At 43.4% G+C, this 17747-nt stretch overlaps 1 protein-coding gene across 34 annotated transcripts in view, besides 3 other annotated features; it reads left to right on the plus strand.

Moving 5' to 3' along the window:
* KALRN (kalirin RhoGEF kinase) overlaps positions 1-17747 on the plus strand; it is a 692957-nt gene that overhangs the window by 596912 nt on the left and 78298 nt on the right. For 17 of the 34 annotated variants that reach the window (XM_006713810.4, XM_017007429.2, XM_011513279.3 and 14 more), the window contains 3 exons: positions 2140-2423; positions 3569-3673; positions 6928-7023. In XM_006713810.4, the coding sequence (XP_006713873.1) occupies positions 2140-2423; positions 3569-3673; positions 6928-7023 (485 nt within the window). The remainder of the gene's footprint in view (positions 1-2139; positions 2424-3568; positions 3674-6927; positions 7024-17747) is intronic. The other 17 variants (XM_011513280.3, NM_001388419.1, XM_047449160.1 and 14 more) reach the window with 3 other exon arrangements.
* Positions 4540-5041: an enhancer, noted in NCBI's record as "H3K27ac hESC enhancer chr3:124353667-124354168 (GRCh37/hg19 assembly coordinates)". NCBI's record gives its function as "activates a minimal SCP1, AML or CMV promoter by ChIP-STARR-seq in naive H9 embryonic stem cells {active_cell/tissue: H9 hESC(naive)}" and the evidence as "EXISTENCE:reporter gene assay evidence [ECO:0000049][PMID:30033119]".
* Positions 7890-8484: an enhancer, noted in NCBI's record as "OCT4-NANOG-H3K4me1 hESC enhancer chr3:124357017-124357611 (GRCh37/hg19 assembly coordinates)". NCBI's record gives its function as "activates a minimal SCP1, AML or CMV promoter by ChIP-STARR-seq in primed H9 embryonic stem cells {active_cell/tissue: H9 hESC(primed)}" and the evidence as "EXISTENCE:reporter gene assay evidence [ECO:0000049][PMID:30033119]".
* Positions 13285-13334: an enhancer, noted in NCBI's record as "active region_20401". NCBI's record gives its function as "activates an Ori minimal core promoter by ATAC-STARR-seq in GM12878 lymphoblastoid cells {active_cell/tissue: GM12878}" and the evidence as "EXISTENCE:reporter gene assay evidence [ECO:0000049][PMID:35858748]".

Raw genomic sequence — 17747 nt, forward strand, 5'->3', positions numbered from 1 at the left:
GGCTTTCCCTGGACTTGCTCTTCCTCAAACCTCATCCCTAACCCCATATTCAGAGGGAGCCTAGAGAACTGGGCGGGTGTAGACATGAAAGGCCCAGTAGTGTTTGTTTGTTTGTTTGTTTGTTTGTTTGTTTTGAGATGGAGTCTCCCTCTGTCACCCAGGCTGGAGTGCAGTGGTGCGATCTTGGCTCACTGCAACCTCCGCCTCCTGGGTTCAAGTGATTCTCCTGCCTCAGCCTCCTGGGTAGCTGGGATTGCAGGCATGAGGCACCACACCCGGCTCCAGTAGTGTAGTTTAGTGCTCAAGTCTGGCTGTCTGCAGTTCAGATTTCACCTTGCCCCTATGAGCTGTATGTCCTTAAGCAAGTTAACTCTTTAAGTCTGCAGTTTCTTCTTCTGTAAAATGAGGATAATGACAGAACCTACCTCATAGAGTTATACGGAGAATGAAATGATAGTCCACATAAAATGTTTAGGCTATTGCAAGCATATACGATTGAAAATAGTCAATATATGGCATACAGCTTACAAACAATATGCTGAGATTTAAAAAACAAAACAAAACAAAACAAACTCTTGTTCTCCAATCACTGTGCCTTTAAAACAGTACAAGAATTCTCTATACTCTGTCTTGTTTCTCACACCCATGCTCTTGCATCCTCTCTAATTAGGCCATGGCCCCCTCCATTCCACTACAGCTGCTTTTTTCAAAGTCACCAATGATCTCCATGTTGCTCAGTTTTAAGACTTAATTCTTAGGTCAACTCTCCTGACCTATCAGGCAGCATTTGACACGCCGATTTCTCCCTTTGTAAGACATTTTCCACGTGCAGCCTCCAGAACACCCCACCCTCCTGGTTTTACTCCTACCTCACTGGCTACTTTCTTGTCCTCTCGTCTTCCTGCTTCTGGCTTAGTCTTTGGACTTTGTCTTTATCCATACCCATGCCTCTCGCTGATCTCACCCAGCTTCATGGCTTCCAACCCCATCTCTCCTCTGACAACTCTGCAATTATCTCCAGCTCACCAGCACTTTCTCCCCTGAGCTCCAGACTTGAAGGCAAGCTGCTATTCAATTTCTCCACTCAGGTATCTAATGGGCATCTCAAAGATGTCTAAACCTAAACTCCTATATTTCCTCCCTGAGTCCTGTTCCTCCTATATTCTTCCACATCTCAGGAACCCCATCCTAACCTCAGACCCAAAACCTGAGATACCCTTGACTCTTTTTTCATATCCCATACACACATAGTCTGTCAGCAATTCATATTGGCCCTTCCAGCAAAACATCTCCAGAATCTGATCACTTCTAACAACCACTAGGACCACCCTACTTCTAAACCACCAACATCCCTCACCTGGAATAGTGCAGTGGCCTCCCAACCAGTTTCCCTATTTCCACTTGCCCTCAATATAGAAACCAGAATGACCTTTAAAAATATAAGCCAGATTGAATCACTCTGGCTCAGAATCTTCCAGTGGGTTTTCACTCCAGGTAAAAGCCAGAGGCATAGCACTGGCTTACCACATGCTTGTTGACCCAGCTCCCAGTAGCTTTTCTGACTTCCTTTCTTACTGATCCCCCCGGCTTACTCCACCAAGGCCACCCCAGGCCTTGCCTTGGGACCTTTGTGTTTGCTCTTCCGCCCAGAAGGCCCTTCGCCAGATGGCGTCACCACCACTAGGCCTTGGCTCACATGTCATGTCATGAGACTGGCCCTGATCACCTCTTCAATCTGCACCCCCTTTTCCAACCCCAGCACTCCCTAATCCCTTCCCGTACTTTGTGTTTTGATGTAGCACTTCTCACCACCTGTCATACTTTTCATTTTGCTTATTTTATTTTTATAGTCTATTATATGTGTTTCCCACCAGAATGTAAACTCCGCGAAGGCAGGAGTTTCTGTCTTCTGCCCACTCCTGTATCCATAGTACCGGGAATGGTGCTTCATACTTTAAAAATTGAGTGAGCGTTTGCCTTTCTTACTGTTGTTGAGAGGGTTCTCTGGACTGGGGTCTACAGCTGGCCTGGACATTCTGCCTTGTGTCCTAGCTTCCTGAGGATGGAGCTGTCTCAGTCCCAGGTTTGCGGCCTGCCTTCACCACCTCTGACATGGCTGTGTCTGTCCGTTTTCCTCAGATGCATACTCTCATTCCTCAAGCGAGAATGGAGGCAAGTCCGAGTCCGTGGCCAACCTGCAGGCCCAGCCCTCCCTGAACTCCATCCACAGTTCCCCGGGTCCCAAGCGCTCCACCAACACTCTTAAGAAGTGGCTGACGAGTCCTGTGCGTCGGCTTAACAGCGGGAAGGCAGATGGAAACATCAAAAAGCAGAAGAAAGTTCGCGATGGTCGGAAGAGCTTTGACCTGGGATCTCCCAAGCCTGGGGATGAAACAACCCCTCAGGGAGACAGCGCTGATGAGGTACTTACAGGGGGCCCTGGAGTTGTCCATCAGGAGGGCCTTCTGACATGTCTCCTTCCTCAGGTTTTGTCAACTAGGCCATCTCAAATCTCCATTAGTGTGTTACCTTGAGCCTAAGTGATTTGGATTCTTTTTATTCTTAAGACATTGGCCAGTTTGATTTGTGGCTGATTCAGAAGCTGACTAGCCCCTAAGACTTCCAGCAGACAGAAACCATTTGCCAGATTTGGAGATAGGACCTGGGCCTGAGGGGAGTCATTTGGTCATTAGTTCCCTACCTCTACTAAGGACTACATTAAAACCAGCTAGACCTGTTTAGATTTAGAATAAAAGAATGAAGATTGTTTCATTTTGAAAACAGGACTGTGCTGGGAGATTGTAGCTGTTTTCAAGTCTCTTGAGCAGTGCCACACATCAAAAGGAATAGATCATCCAGAGTTACTCCAGATAACTATGATGAACAGATGAAGATTACAATAGGCAGGGTTTCCGCTCAAAGAAAAAGTTTAATCTAGGAGTCAGTCAGTGATTAAATGGGCCTTCATGAAAACTAATGAACGCCCATACTGGAAGGTTTGAGAGACTGTAGCCAAAGTTAGGCTGGATGAAGCTGAGATTCTGTAACCAAAAGACAGTGGATATGTTTTGGTTGGGGAAATGAGATACCTGTTTTATTTGGCACACAATCCTGCTCTAATCACTGATGTGGCTAAGAAATTCTTTGTGATGTGTAACTGGACCCCCTCTTGTTGTGATTTTATGCTACCTGCCATTTCTCCCTCTGGAAATGGCAGCTAAGCCTGGCGGCATTTGGGCTATGGTTTCATAGCCCTACAAAAATGTAAAAGTTAGGCTCTCTCTGACTACTTCCAGCTTTTTCTTTTCTTGCTAATCGATAAGATAGATAGTTTCTGGTTTTGCTTCTTTTTGGGGGTGTGTGTGTGTGTGTGTGTGTTCCCCACTGGTGCTCACTCTCATTTGAAATAAGCAGGTGTATCCATGTATCAAAAGAGGAAATTGCGACTGAACAGTTAAGAGTGAGTTGAGAGAGGAACTCTCCTCCTATGTATTATTTTTGTTAATGTCAAGTCCAGAACCACTGGCATGTTTGTGACACAGTAACTAATGCTGCTCTTTTGTTCTAGAAGAGCAAGAAAGGTTGGGGTGAAGATGAGCCGGATGAAGAGTCACACACACCCCTCCCACCACCTATGAAGATTTTTGACAACGACCCTACACAGGATGAAATGGTAGAACTTCTTTACTTGCTCACTTAAAAGAGCAACGTGCCGTGCGTGATTTTGTTTTTTGTGTGTGATGGGGGTAGTCATACTCTTTCTCCCATGTTATCTCGTCGTCCACATGAATCCATGTTGATACCAATTGTGTCTCTATTTGGTAGGTGTCCCTTCCCCAACCCTGGAGGTCCAACTTCATTCTAGGCAGTGGAGGGGGTGTGTGCAGAATTCTCAAAGTGGGAATCTGCCTGGTGTCTTGTCCTGTTGATAAAGGGTAATGGCTCTGTCTTTGGAAGCAGCACATCCTAAAAGGAGCAATTCCAGGTAGTTCCAGTCCACAACCATTTTGTCGTACCTGACTGTACAACCTGCATGTTAGTTGTTTTCCCTATAGTCAACTCTAAACTCTAACTAATGGTAGCTACCAGTCAAGCCCAGTGTTGGTCAAATTTTGCAATGACGGTATGAGGAATGAAGATGCTGCTAAGGGGAAGTTATTGTCAAAGGTGGGCAAACTTAATATGCGAAATTGCCTGACTTTGCTTTGCAAGATTCCCCGGCCCGCTGGCATGCATAGGCTCACTGGTATTTGAAATATCGATGCCCCCTGTGTCTCCAGTCACCCGGTGATCATCCCAGTTGTTCTGGAGCAGAAGCGTAGGTTAGACGTGCTTCCAGGTACTGACCCGAGGCTTGGGGCAGCTTTATGTTCTCCCTCACTTGTCACTCAGTCTCCTTGCAGCTCTGCTTTCACATCACCTTTTTTTTTCTGCCTTAAGTGTTGCTGATTCTCTTAGACTCTGGACGTGGAAGCGGCAGGTTTGGGTTTTGACTGTATGGCACTTTCCATTTGCTTTTTCAAGTGCTGTTTTGTTGCAGTGGTGGTAGTGGATGTGGCAGCTTGTCTACCTGTCCCTCCAGGCTCTCCTGTGCTCTCTAGTGCTCTGCCCTGTAGTGGGACAGCCTCCTGCGGGTGTGTCCTTTCTGGTGACATCTCAGTTCTTATTTTAATTCTCTCTGCTTTGCATTTGAATTGTTAACCCACAGACATTAACTGAAGTCTTCCTCTGTGCTAGGCCGGAAGGACAAAGTCTAGGGACTCTGAGATGTGGCAGCTGCCCCCATGATGTGACTCACCTAGTCGTGGCCCCTCCTAGGTGATGTTGGTGGCCCTGTCTTCAGGGCCAGCTCTTTGACTCTGGATTATTGGGAAGAGACATAGTAGGAAGGCTGGTGTTATACCATCCTGGGTTCCTGAGACAGAAGTGCTGGTGCTTCACCTTGAGATGGAAATGAGACCTGCCTACTTGTAATGTATTTTATAAACAGCGATCATGGCCTAAGGAGTAGGGTGCCCATGTCTCACACAGCCCTCTGTGCAAGGGCCCCACTTGCATAAGGTCACCACCTTCTCTCTCTAATTCCCTCAAACACAGCTTGTTTACAGAAATGGATGTTACATTGTTTCTGGATAATTTTTAACCCAGAATTCTGACTTACCTTTATTTGTGTAGCCTTTTCCTTATGCAGAAATGGGGCAGATGGCAACAGTCTCCTTTCAGATACATGAACTCTCCTTATTCCTGCTTGTTTGATTTCTGTATGTTTTTTATAAATGTTTGGGAGTGGGATGAACTTCAGAGCATCTAGCAAATGGAGTTGGATGTATTAAAACAATTTTTACAACACTGTCAAAGGAATTTTTAAAAGTTCACCGTTGTAATATTGTGCAATTGTCTTCTCCTTGTTTCCTTCTAATCTTTTTCTTATGTGTGTACGTTTTACTTTTACAATTATAATATGCATATGTTGTGTCCAATGTTTTATTTACTACCATTTCCTAAAATTGCATGAATTTTTTTCTTCCTAGCTGTAATTTTAATAGCTGGAGAAAATTTTGCTTATTTGCTGTTCCATAATGTGTTTGATCAGCCTGTTGGGGACATCCTAACAGGGTGTTTCCATTGTTTGCTACTATGGCTAATACTACTACATACAGATCACTGTGTATATACAGCATTTGTTCTTTTGACTTCTGTCCTTGGAATAAATTCCCAGGAGTAGGATTACTAGATTAAAAAGAGGATAGCTTGATTTTCCACATGGACGTAAGCTTTTTCCTGCAGTCCCCAAGAGAGGAAAAAGAATATTGTTATATCTTCCTTAATTATAATTATTTTCCTCCCATCTCAGAAGCAAAGACTTAATAAAGTAACTTAGATTAGATGAGAAGCTTCATTTTTGAAACTTTCTCTCTAACCCAAGGGGCAAACTTGAAGGAGCCTATGTCCTGGCCTTGGGAACACCACTGCCCCCTGCTCTGATAAGCTGGAAGTAAAAGCACACACAAACGGTGCAGGGTTAACTATTTCTCCCCCAGTTTCTTCTCAGGTAGAAGAAGGAAGAAAAAGCCAAACAAAAAACCACCATCCTTCAGTGAGCAGGAAGCCCCAAACCATTGACCACACAAACAACCACATGGACAACTCCTCACTGCTGGTGCAGGGGAAAAGGGACACAGGGAGGTCCTGGAGTCGTCTCTCTTTACTATGAACAGGGTAGTTCCTAGCTGCTTCAGGACTCCTGCTAAAGCCTTTTATTACTTCCTAGTGTTCCAGTTCAGGGGCCTTACCAGAGCCAGCTATGCTTTGTGGAGGGGTAAGGGTGTATGTGTGTCAGGGGCAGAGCGGGAGAGGAAGACAGAGGGAGAGAATATAGGAAGGGAGTATCTAGCTTGCTGGTCTCTAAGGGTCCTGCCCCTAGCATTTTTGCTGGACACATAATAAAGATCTATATCTAAGGCTGTAGTAAAGCAAGGACTGTTTCCCTTTTTTGGACACACTCAAGGCTGGGTTTGTTGAATCCTTCACACCCCAAAACAGCAACGGGCAGCTGTGTAGTGGCCAAAGTCTCGTTTGCCCACAGAGCAGTAGCCCCCGCCCTCCAAGCTGTTGCTGTCAGTAGGTACAACACTAGTCTGTAGGCCTCCCAGGAAGTCAGTGATTTCTCCTCTCCCCTCCTTCATAGGCTTGCCTAAGGATAGCCTAGTACCATCCATTTGCTGCTGGCTAGAATTCCTAATAAGGGGTTGGGCAGGCCTGTATGTATTACACCCACACTCTTCTCCCTCTGTCACCTCTTCCGTCTAAACACAGAACTTTGCTTCCCTTCCCTGGCTTGAGCTTTGGACTTTCTGTTTTATTTCCTGATCACTGTTCCTTATTCTTTGCTAATCTGCTTTTCCTCTGCTGCCCGATGTCTTGCAGTCCTCCTCTTTGCTAGCAGCCCGGCAGGCTTCCACTGAAGTACCTACTGCTGCAGACCTTGTCAATGCAATAGAAAAGTTGGTCAAAAACAAGCTGGTAAGTGGGGGTCCTGGAGGCAGTTCTGTGTGTGTCTCACCTTCACACTGCTCCAGGCTTGCATCTGTCTGCCGTTTTCTCCTTTGCACCTGTCCTCATTCTTCCTATGTGATTGCAGCTAATGATGGTTTCTAAAAAGCTGTACCCCAGAGTCCTTTTTGACTTTGTTTGGGAATGGGTATAGGGAATTAATACATCATTTGGGGGCTGCAGTGTTGATGAAAGTTGAAAACTATTCAAGACAAACTCACCTCATTGCAAGCCTGATCCAGCGGCCCACAGGCAAGTGGCATTCAGTCAGTGATTGATATGTATTTGGTTAGCCCAGAAGCTAGTACACCGCGATGCTGAGACCCAGAACACACTGATTGGATATTTGACAGCACTAGGAAATTTTATGGGGACTTGGGTAGCCTTCCAGCGTGCAAAGTCTTTCAAAAGTAGACTGCTGATTATAAAGGGGAATGGGCAAAAGTGTGTGGATACCTCACCACAATAAATTAAGAGAGTCAGTGCCTAGCCCTACAATGGGGGGAAAAACTGAACATAAGCCACTGGCAGCCTGTCTAGCCTGTGACTGTCTCATGGACCCATCAGCCCGTTGGAGGGATAGGTGATGAGTCTGAGCAGGTTTGGGGTTTTGGCATAATGCTGGTGAAAGGGCCCCTTTTTGGATAGCTCATTAGGATGGAGCTGTTCCTCCACTCTCCTGTTTTTACATTTAAGTGTATCACCACAGGATGACAATTGGAAGCATTTTCCTTTCTTTCACTCTCATCCATATCACCCATTTAGCTTTTCCTGCAATTCTCATTAGGATAAATGTCTGTGCTTCTGCCAGACTTCTATTGGGCAGTCTTATTAATCACTTGGCCCAGGAGCTAGAGGAAAATGATGGATGCTCTCTATGGAAAGCTACCTAATAATTTTGACTATAGTAACTCCCTTTTCAGATATCCCAGCATATACTATATGAATGAGGTTTAATACATATGAGTTTATTCTTTTCCTGCTAAATTTTCCTTTCTAATTAAAAAAAAAAAAACAAAAACCTGCTGTTTTCAGTACCTAGTGTCAAACTCCTGAAAATCGTCTATTTTCCTGCCATCTTTCCTTTTCCTACCAGCAGGAGTTAAGTACTCTTCTGGGCACTACATTGACTTTCAAAGACCCCTCTCTGACTGCTTCTCACTTGCTCTCCCTCTCCACACCAACCTATATACCCTCTTCATTCTACAAATGCTGTATTTAATTTTTTTCTTAAAGTCATCCTTTTTCTTTCTTTTTTGCATTTTTTCTTTTACCATCTGAGCATGGGCCCTGAATTCATTCCTGGAGTATTGCAGTAGCCATTGCCTGCCTTTTCTCTGCTAAGTCTGCCTTCACACCCAATTGGTCTTCTGTAAACACTGCTTATTGCCTCCCTCTTGGCTACATAAGCAGTGGTCTCCAATGGGGGGGTGCCCTCAGGTACATAAGACAACTTACTGGGGTATGGGAAGAAAATATTAGAGCCTCTTTATATCATTTTAAAATGGTTTTGTGTGTGTTTTCTTATGTATATAATGATAGTACAGTAGCATAAATATAGAATTTATAAACAAGTTACATGTTTGGGGGTACACGAGCAAAATTATTTTCAGTGACAGAGATATATAATCAAAGTTTGGGAATCACTGGCCTATACATAAAGTCCACACTTACCTAATATTCTGATATTTTTGTAGCCTGTTCTCCAACCTACCTTTCCACCATCTAGTTATTTATTTGGTTGTTGAACTCTGTTCCAAACAAATTGTTTTCTTTGCTATCCTCGAACTCACACTTGGCTTTCTTCCCTCCAAGTTTTTGTTCATATGGCCCCATTTCTCTGGAATGTTCTCCCTCTTATGTTTGCTTATCTAGAGCATAGTGGTCATTCAGGGTCCTACTCAGATCTCCTCCTCTACAAGGGCTTCTCTGACCAGCCCAGGCCAAATTTCCATTATAATCCCATGGTAATTACTAAAGCCACATACTGCCTGGGACAGCTCTTAAGCAGCTCTGTGGTGTAATTTGTTAAAATATCGTAATGATTTCATTTGCGTTTTACCTCCCTAGCTAGATGGTAAGTCATTTAGGATATTATTATTTTTTGCTCTATTAGTATAAAAAAGTCTTTTACACTTAGTGGGTTTTTCATGAACACTTGTTTCCAGAGTCTATTTTTATATTTTGGATTACCTTTTTGCCCACTACTACTGCTAAGCTTTGCACTGCTGACAGTCTCCAGACCACTAATTTGTGTGATCGATGGTGTTAAACATGTAAGCAAAGACATAGAAAAGTCCCATCACAGCAAATTTTCTAGAGAAGAGGGGATGTGGGATGGCATTGGTGTTGATTGGCTTTATTATAGGCTCTCAATAAATGTCTGTTGAATGAATGTCCTTTCTGTGGTGAGTGTGCCATAATGAAGGATATAACTTCTTCCAGCAATAACTACTCTTGAGGACCTACAGTAAGCCCAGAATTAGAGCTATCTTTGGCTTAACATGTAAAACCAAGCTCACGTCACAGAAAGGAAAGAGGAAGCCGTGGTTTGGTTTCTTAGAATCTTCCTACCAAAATTTGATTCTTGGTCCTTTCCACCACTTTCTCTTTCTCCCCTTCCCACATGTGGTAGCAATGTAACAATACTAGGTTGAGAATATCTCAGCCATGCTTGGGAGCACTAAGTTGCATTTTCACCTTCGAGACTCTTAGTCCTATTCCTTATCAGTTCTTCCGCTTAGAAGAAGAAAAGATTCAGAGCTCATAAAAGCTCTGGAGTATTTATTTGACTAAGTACAACTGTGTGATAGCTGCGAAGATAGTGAGTATTATCACAGGCTTGGTTAATGAAAGTACAATGTACAGATCAAAAGAAGCAATAGTATTCAAAGGTATTCAAACCATACACATCATGAGCTGTGTGTGACTAATGCATTCGATTCTTTCTTTCTTTTTTTTTTTTTTTTTTGAGACAGAGTCTCACTCTGTCGCCCAGGCTGGAGTGCAGCGGCATGATCTCGGTTCTCTGCAACCTCCACCTCCCAGGTTCAAGTGATTCTCATGCCTCAGCCTCCTGAGTAGCTGGGATTGCAGGCACACCACCATGCCTGGCTAATTTTTGTATTTTTAGTAGACACAGGGTTTCACCATGTTGGCCAGGCTGGTCTCAAACTCCTAACCACAGTAATCCACCCACCTCAGCCTCCCAAAATGCTGGGATTACAGTCATGAGCCACCACGCCCAGCCAATGCATTCTATTATTCTATTCTAAATGCAACCTTCTACAATGTTCTTGAACAAACTGGAGGGGCCCAGAGGAGGTAACCAAACCATGTGGTCCATGTAATTTGAAGGAAAGTTGAGGAAACCAAGGTTAACTATGGGGAGAAGTTAGGAGAAGACACATGAGAGCTGTCTTCTAGTAATTGAAGCACTGCCATGGGAATGAGGTTGCAAAGAGCAACTAACTCTTTATTACCCCAGAGGGCAGAATCTAGACCTGTGGGTGGGAGTTTTCTTCGTTCCATATGAGGAAGAACTAATAAAGTTCTTTCCACTTTACAGAGTTCAATTCCATCTTACAGGAGCATCTGGTATTCTTGGACTTTACTGAGTCCTTAAAGTCTTTCCGCTTTATTGGTTGCTCAAGCCGCGGCACGGAATTCTGCTTTAGAATTCGTTTGGCTCCCTGGCTCCACCCAAAGGCCATGAGATCCCCCATGTTCCTATCTCCCAGAGCTGCCCCTGGTGCTTTATGGTCACTTGGTCATTTGTTATACCAAAGCTTCTGCCTCGGTGAGTTAGGATCTCTGCTGCACAAGACCTACTGTTAAGGAACAAAAACAGGGTTTATCTGCAGTGCAGATAAAACTCCCGAAGAGTCACCACCCACCCATGAGTCCTTCTGGACATTAATGGGCCCTTCTGTGGTCTTGCTATCAGCCTTGGTCTTTAATTCGTGCTTTTGTTTATTAAGAAAGATGCTCACCCATCTCCCCAGATAGAACTAACACACTTTTTCTGGGTTTTGCATTAAGGGATTATCTTTGAGCCAGGAATAGGGCTCCCCCTGCTTTCACTGTGTGATTTTTAATAAAGCCTTTTCTAGACGTGTGGACTGTTGCTGCTGGCAGTGACTGTGTAAGGAATCAGAAGACCTAGGATTTAGTCCTGCCTCTGCTATCTACTGTATAGTCCTGGGAAAATTACTTAGTCTACTTGGGGTTCTCTTTTACCTCACTTATTAGTGATGCTGATTCTGTCTATTCAAATCTAATCCCAACAGAGTTATGATGATAATTGAGTAGGCATGAATGGGCTTTGTAAACTGATAATCAAGCATCTACAAATGTTAGTTCTTAGCCACCTCGACTGCCTTGTGAAGGACAGGGAAAGGGAACTGTGTCATCCTTATCTCCTGTAGCTTGGTATGAAGCTGGGCACATGGAAACTTAGTATTTGCCAGCAATAGATTGGTTGGGTGAATGTTGCAGGGTAATAGTTTGACAGTCTATACAATTTGGTTTTATTTCCCAAGTTTGAGAAACAAGAGCTTCCTGGCCATGTGAGAATCTAGTGTATCTCTAAACTGAAGTCCTGGAGCCCCAGAATTCTACTATCTTCCTGGCATGAAAGACCAAGCCTCTGGAAAGAAAGCCCCTAGGCCAAGTGTGGTGGCTCACACCTGTACTCCTAGCACTTTGGGAGGCCAAAGCGGGCAGATTGCCTGAGCTTAGGAGTTCAAGACCAGCCTAGGCAACACGGTGAAACCCCATATCTAGTAAAATACAAAAGAAATTAGATGGGCGTGGTGGCATGCGCCTGTAATCCCAGCTACTCCGGAGGCTGAGGCATAAGAATCGCTTGAACTCGGGAGGCAGAGGTTGCAGTGAGCCGAGATCGCGCCACTGCACTCCAGCCTGGGGTGACAAAGCAAGACTGTCTCTACAGAAAAACAAAAAATTAAAAGAGAGAGAGAGAGAGAGATAGAAAAGAAAAGAAAGCCCCTTTCTGAGCTCGTCATTGGGTGGCACACTAGCGTAGTTCACTGGGCTCAGGATGGCCCTAGTGGACCCTGGCTAATAATCCTCTGCCTTTAGGGAAGAGACTGGCCAGGACTGAACTCCTATTTAGTCTACTTGGTGGCCTGGCACCCTGAGAATGTGCCCTACCTGCTTCAGCAAGACTTTCCACCCTCTGGTTCTCCTATTTTGACAGCATTCATCTCCTCCTTGGGCCAGCCTTGTGGGTCATGGAAGAACATGGCCACAGCCAGGCTGTATTTGTGTGTGTGCTTTGCCCCCCTTTAGAAGAATTAACTTGTTTTGTCAATAGCCGGGTGGAGTTAGCAAAAGTTCAGAATCCAGATGGGGAAAAAATAATGGCCTCATCATATCCATTGCAGAGGTGTATGTTTCCAGGGACTGGGTTCTTCTAGCATGCTTCTGTGGAAGAGATTCCCAAGCCTCGTTTTTTTTTTTTTTTTTTTTGAGACGGAGTTTTGCTCTTGTTTCTTGTTGCCGAGGCTGGAGTGCAATGGCGTGATCATGGCTCACTGCAACCTCCGCCTCCCGGGTTCAAGCTATTCTTCTGCCTCAGCCACCTGAGTAGCTGGGATTAACAGGCATGCGCCACCACACCAAGCTAATTTTGTACTTTTAGTAGAGACAGGGTTTCTCCATGTTGGTCAGGCTGGTCTTGAACTCTCAACCTCACGTGATCCGCCTGCCTCGGCCTCCCAAAGTGCTGGGATTACAGGCATCAGCCACCACACCAGGCCAATTACTGAGGTTCTTGTAAGAAGGTAAAAGTTTAGATTTCCACCATTTTTTGTTTGTTTGTTTTTGTTTTTGTTTTGTGGAGGCAGGGTCTGACTTTGTTGCCCGGGCTGGTCTCAAATTCCTAGCCTCAAGCAATTCTCCTGCAATGGCCTCCCAAAGTGCCAGGATTGCAGGTGTGAGCCACCATGCCCAGCCTCCACAAAATTTTTTTTTTAGCCCAGTTACAAATCTGAAATGTCATTGGCCTGGAAAATCCAGACTTAAGCTTTTCAACTGTGTATTGTCCCTACACCCCCCAACAGTTTGCCTAGGAATTACTTAGATCTCATGCTTTTTGTCCAGAGAATATTACTTAAGGATTTTGTTGTTGTTCGGTTTTTTTGACACAGGGTCTCACTCTGTCGCCCAGACTGGAGTGCAGTGGCTTGATCTCGGCTCACTGCAGCTTTGATCTCCTGGGCTCAAGCAATCTTTTCACTTCAACCTCCTGAGTAGGTGGGACTATGGGCATGTGTCGCCATGCCTGGCTGATTTTTAAATTTTTCTATTTTTAGCAGAGATGAGGTCTCGCTTTGTTGCCCAGACTGGCGTTGAACCTGAGCTCAAGCAATCCTCCCACTTCAGCCTCCCAAAGTGACAGCCACAGCCATATGTTATTTTTTTACATATATTTTATTGTGTATATTTGAGGTTTACAACATGATGTTATGAGATACCCATAGATAGTAGAATGGTTACTGTAGTGAAGCAAATTAACATATCTATCATGTCACACAGTTACTTTTTTGAGTATGTGTGACAAAAGTAGCTAAAATTTATATTTTAATTAGTTAAATAAAATTTTGGTGGAAGTCTAAATTAGTACCTAAAGAGTAGCTAAATGTACTTATTTAACAAAAATTCCAAATACAATTTTATTAATGATAATCCTCATGTAGATTAGGTCTCTAGACCTGTTCATGCTACAGATTTGCTACTTTGTATCCTTTGACCTACATGTCCCGGTTTCCTAGCTGCCTTCTCCACTTTGCTGGTAACTACTGTTTTATTTTCTATCCGTGTATATTTTTGTGTATATTTTGACCTTTTAAAAAAATATTCCACATATAAATGAGATCATGCAATATTTTTCTTTCTGTATCTGGCTTATTTCACTCAGCATCATGTCCTTCAGGTCCATCTGTGTTGTGGCAAATGGCAGGATCTTTTTTTAAAATTTTTTTTTATACTTTAAGTTCCAGGATACATGTGCAGAGCGTGCAGGTTTATTACATAGGTATACACGTGTCATGGTGGTTTGCTGCACCCATCAACCCATCATCTACATTAGGTATTTCTCCTAATGCTATCCTTCCCCTAGCCCCCAACCCCCAGACAGGCCCCAGTGTGTGATGTTCCCCTCCCTGTGTCTATGTGTTCTCATTGTTCAACTCCCACTTATGAGTGAGAACATGCAGTGTTTGGTTTTCTGTTCCTGTGTTAGTTTGGTGAGAATGATGGTTTCCAGCTTCCTCCATGTCCCCGCAAAGGACATGAACTCATCCTTTTTTACAACTGCATAGTATTCCATGGTGTATATGTGCCACATTTTCTTTATCCAGTCTATCATTGATGGGCATTTGGGTTGGTTCCAAGTCTTTGTTATTGTGAACAGTGCTGCAATAAACATACGTGTTCATGTGTCTTTATAGTAGAATGATTTGTAATCCTTTGGGTATATACCCAGTAATGGGATTGTTGGGTCAAATGGTATTCCTGGTTCTAGATCCTTGAGGAATCACCACACTGTCTTCCACAATGGTTGAACTAATTTGCACTCCCACCAACAGTGTAAAAGTGTTCCTGTTTCTCCACATTCTCTCCAGGATCTGTTGTTTCCTGACTTTTTGATGATCGCCATTCTAACTGGCGTGAGATGGTATCTTATTGTGGTTTTGATTTGCATTTCTCTAGTAACCAGTGGTGATGAGCTTTTTTTCATGTGTCTGTTGGCTGCATAAATGTCTTCTTTTGATAAGTGTCTGTTCATATCCTTTGCCCACTTTTTGATGGGGTCGTTTGTTTGTTTCTTGTAAATTTGTTTAAGTTCTTTGTAGATTCTGGATATTAGCCCTTTGTCAGATGGATAGATTGCAAAAATTTTCTCCCATTCTATAGCTTGCCTGTTCACTCTGATGATAGTTTCTTTTGCTGTGCAGAAGCTCTTTAGTTTAATTAGATCCCATTTGTCAATTTTGGCTTTTGTTGCCATTGCTTTTGGTATTTTAATCATAGTCTTTGCCCATGCCTATGTCCTGAATGGTATTGCCTAGGTTTTCTTCTAGGGTTTTTAGGTTTTAGGTTTTAAAAATGTTTAAGTCTTTAATACATCTTGAGTTAAGTTTTGTTTAAGGTGTAAGGAAGGGGTCCACTTTCAGTTTTCTGCATATGGCTAGCCAGTTTTCCCAACACCATTTATTACATAGGGAATCCTTTCCCCACTGCTTGTGTTTTAAGGCTGAATAATATTTCTCTCTCTCTCTCTCTCTCTCTCTCTCTCTCTGTGCGTGTGTGTGTGTGTGTATCACAGTTTCTTTAACCATTTGTCCATCAATAACACTTAGGGGTTTCCATAGCATACTATTGTAAATAATACTGCAATGAACATGGGGGTGCAGATGTCTTAAGAAAAGCTGACTTCATTACCTTTGCGTATATACCCAGAAGAGGGATTATTGGGTCATATGATAATTCTATTCTTAATTTATTTGGGAACCTCCCTACTGTTTTCCAAAATGTCTACATAAGTCTACATTCCCACCAACACGTACCAGGGCTCCCTTTTATTCACACCCTTGCCAACATTTGTTATCTCTTATTTTTCATTTTTATTTTTATTTTTTTGCTGCCTCCCTGTCTGGGAATCGGACCCTGATCTCTTATTTTGTTCTTAATAGCCATCCTAACAGTTGTGATATGCAAATTTTTATCAAAGAGGAGCAACTAAGAGGTGATTGGTTGGTGTGGTAGGTGGCACTGGACCAGCTAGCTTACCCATTGTCTCATCACATGAGCTTTGATCTCTTCCCAAGTTACATAGCATATTTAATAAATTCTTGGAGTCCTCCTGTACACCAGGCTTTGGAATCAAGCACAGAATTTTCCTTATATGGAGCTCGCAGTCTCTAGGGTTAATGCTTAAAATCCTCTCCTCCCTGGACTGTTGGAAATCATTTCCTCTTAGATTTTAGTCCGACATCTCTCTATGTGACTGCTAGAGGGATCTTTTGTTTACTTTTTTTTTTTTTTTTTGAGACAGAGCCTTGCTGTGTCACCCAGTCTGGAGTGCAGTGGCATGATCTCGGCTCACTGCAACCTCCACCTCCCAGGTCCAAGTGATTCTCCTACCTCAGCCTCCCGAGTAGCTGGGACTACAGGCATGTGCCACCACATCTGACTAGTTTTTGTATTTTTAGTAGAGATGGGGTTTCACCATGTTGGCCAAGCTGGTTTTGAACTCCTGACCTCAGGTTATCTGCCCCCCTCGGCCTCCCAAAGTGTTGGGATTACGGGCATGAGCCACTGCGCCCGGCCTCTTTTCCATTTTTTTTTTTTTTAATTAATAGTTCTTTTCTGACGAATATAAGAAATATATGCTTATTCAAAAAAATTTGGAAAAATGACGAGTATAAACATAAATCATCATCTAGACATATTCAGTATTGAAATTTTGATATGTTTTCTTCTAGACCCTTTTAAAAATAGTATAGTTAATCACAGAGTACTTAAAATTTAAGTTCTGTTTCTCTTTACTATCACATCAGAGACATTGTCCCAAATTATGAAAATATCTTTGGAACGTTAAGACTGACATTTCTAAGTCTTAAATCAAAACATGCTATTTCCCTGCTTACAACCCTTCCATCATTGGTCTTAGAAGGTAAAGTTTCTACTTCTTTATTTTAATTTTAATTTTAATTTTTTTATTTAATAGAGATGGGGGTCTCACTATGTTGCCCAGGCTCGGTTCAAACTCCTGAGCTCAAATGACCCTCTCACCACAGCCTCCCAAACTGCTGGCATTACAGGCGTGAGCCACCATTCCCGGCCAAGTCTCTACTTCTTAATACCATGCAGACAGGTTCCTTATGATCTGATCCCTGCAAACTTCTCCAGGATTCTGTTTTCACTCCTCATCCCCTCTTCCTTTAATACCTACTCACCCAGACTCACAAAACACACAGTTACTTGCCACCCTCCTTCCCTCACACTCTGTACTCTGCCCACACCAGGCTACTTTCAGCTTCCCAGGCTGCCCCCATGTCATTTGTTCTTTCACCCTATACTCACAATGCTGCTCCTGCCTGGAATGTCCTCCCATTGGCATATCCAGTGAAAGTCTCCTATTTATCCATTCTCAGTTCAAGCATTGCCTCTTCCATTAAGTCTTTCCTTCTCCATCCCACCATAGAGCCACCTGCTCCTTTTGTTCACCCTCCATTGTACCCTGTGTCTCTACAAGAGTGCCCATTTTGGCTTAGATTATGGAGGCCAGGGAGCTTTGTCTTATTCATCCTCATTTCTCCAGCACTTTGCAAATATTTAGCATGTAGTAGATGTTCAATAAATATTTTCCTGAATTCAAACCAGTGGTTACAATACTATGTGATGAAAGCCATGCAGGGAGTATGTAAAGAGTGTCTATAGGTGCCCAGAGAGGGGGCAGGTTATGAGTATATGATCCCAGATCCAGCGCCCAGGAAATGTGTTCATTTTAAATATGGGGATGACCTTCCTCCACACTTCGTCACATATTTGAATCTATTTGCATTTCTATTCCCCATCCTTGGATTGACTATGGGAACATTTGTTGCTCTATCCCCATGTACCTTTTCCTTTGTCCTCTGAGACTATTTGTGCCCTGAGCTCCA

This window comes from Homo sapiens, chromosome 3, assembly GCF_000001405.40.
Source record: "Homo sapiens chromosome 3, GRCh38.p14 Primary Assembly".
Lineage (NCBI taxonomy): Eukaryota > Metazoa > Chordata > Mammalia > Primates > Hominidae > Homo > Homo sapiens.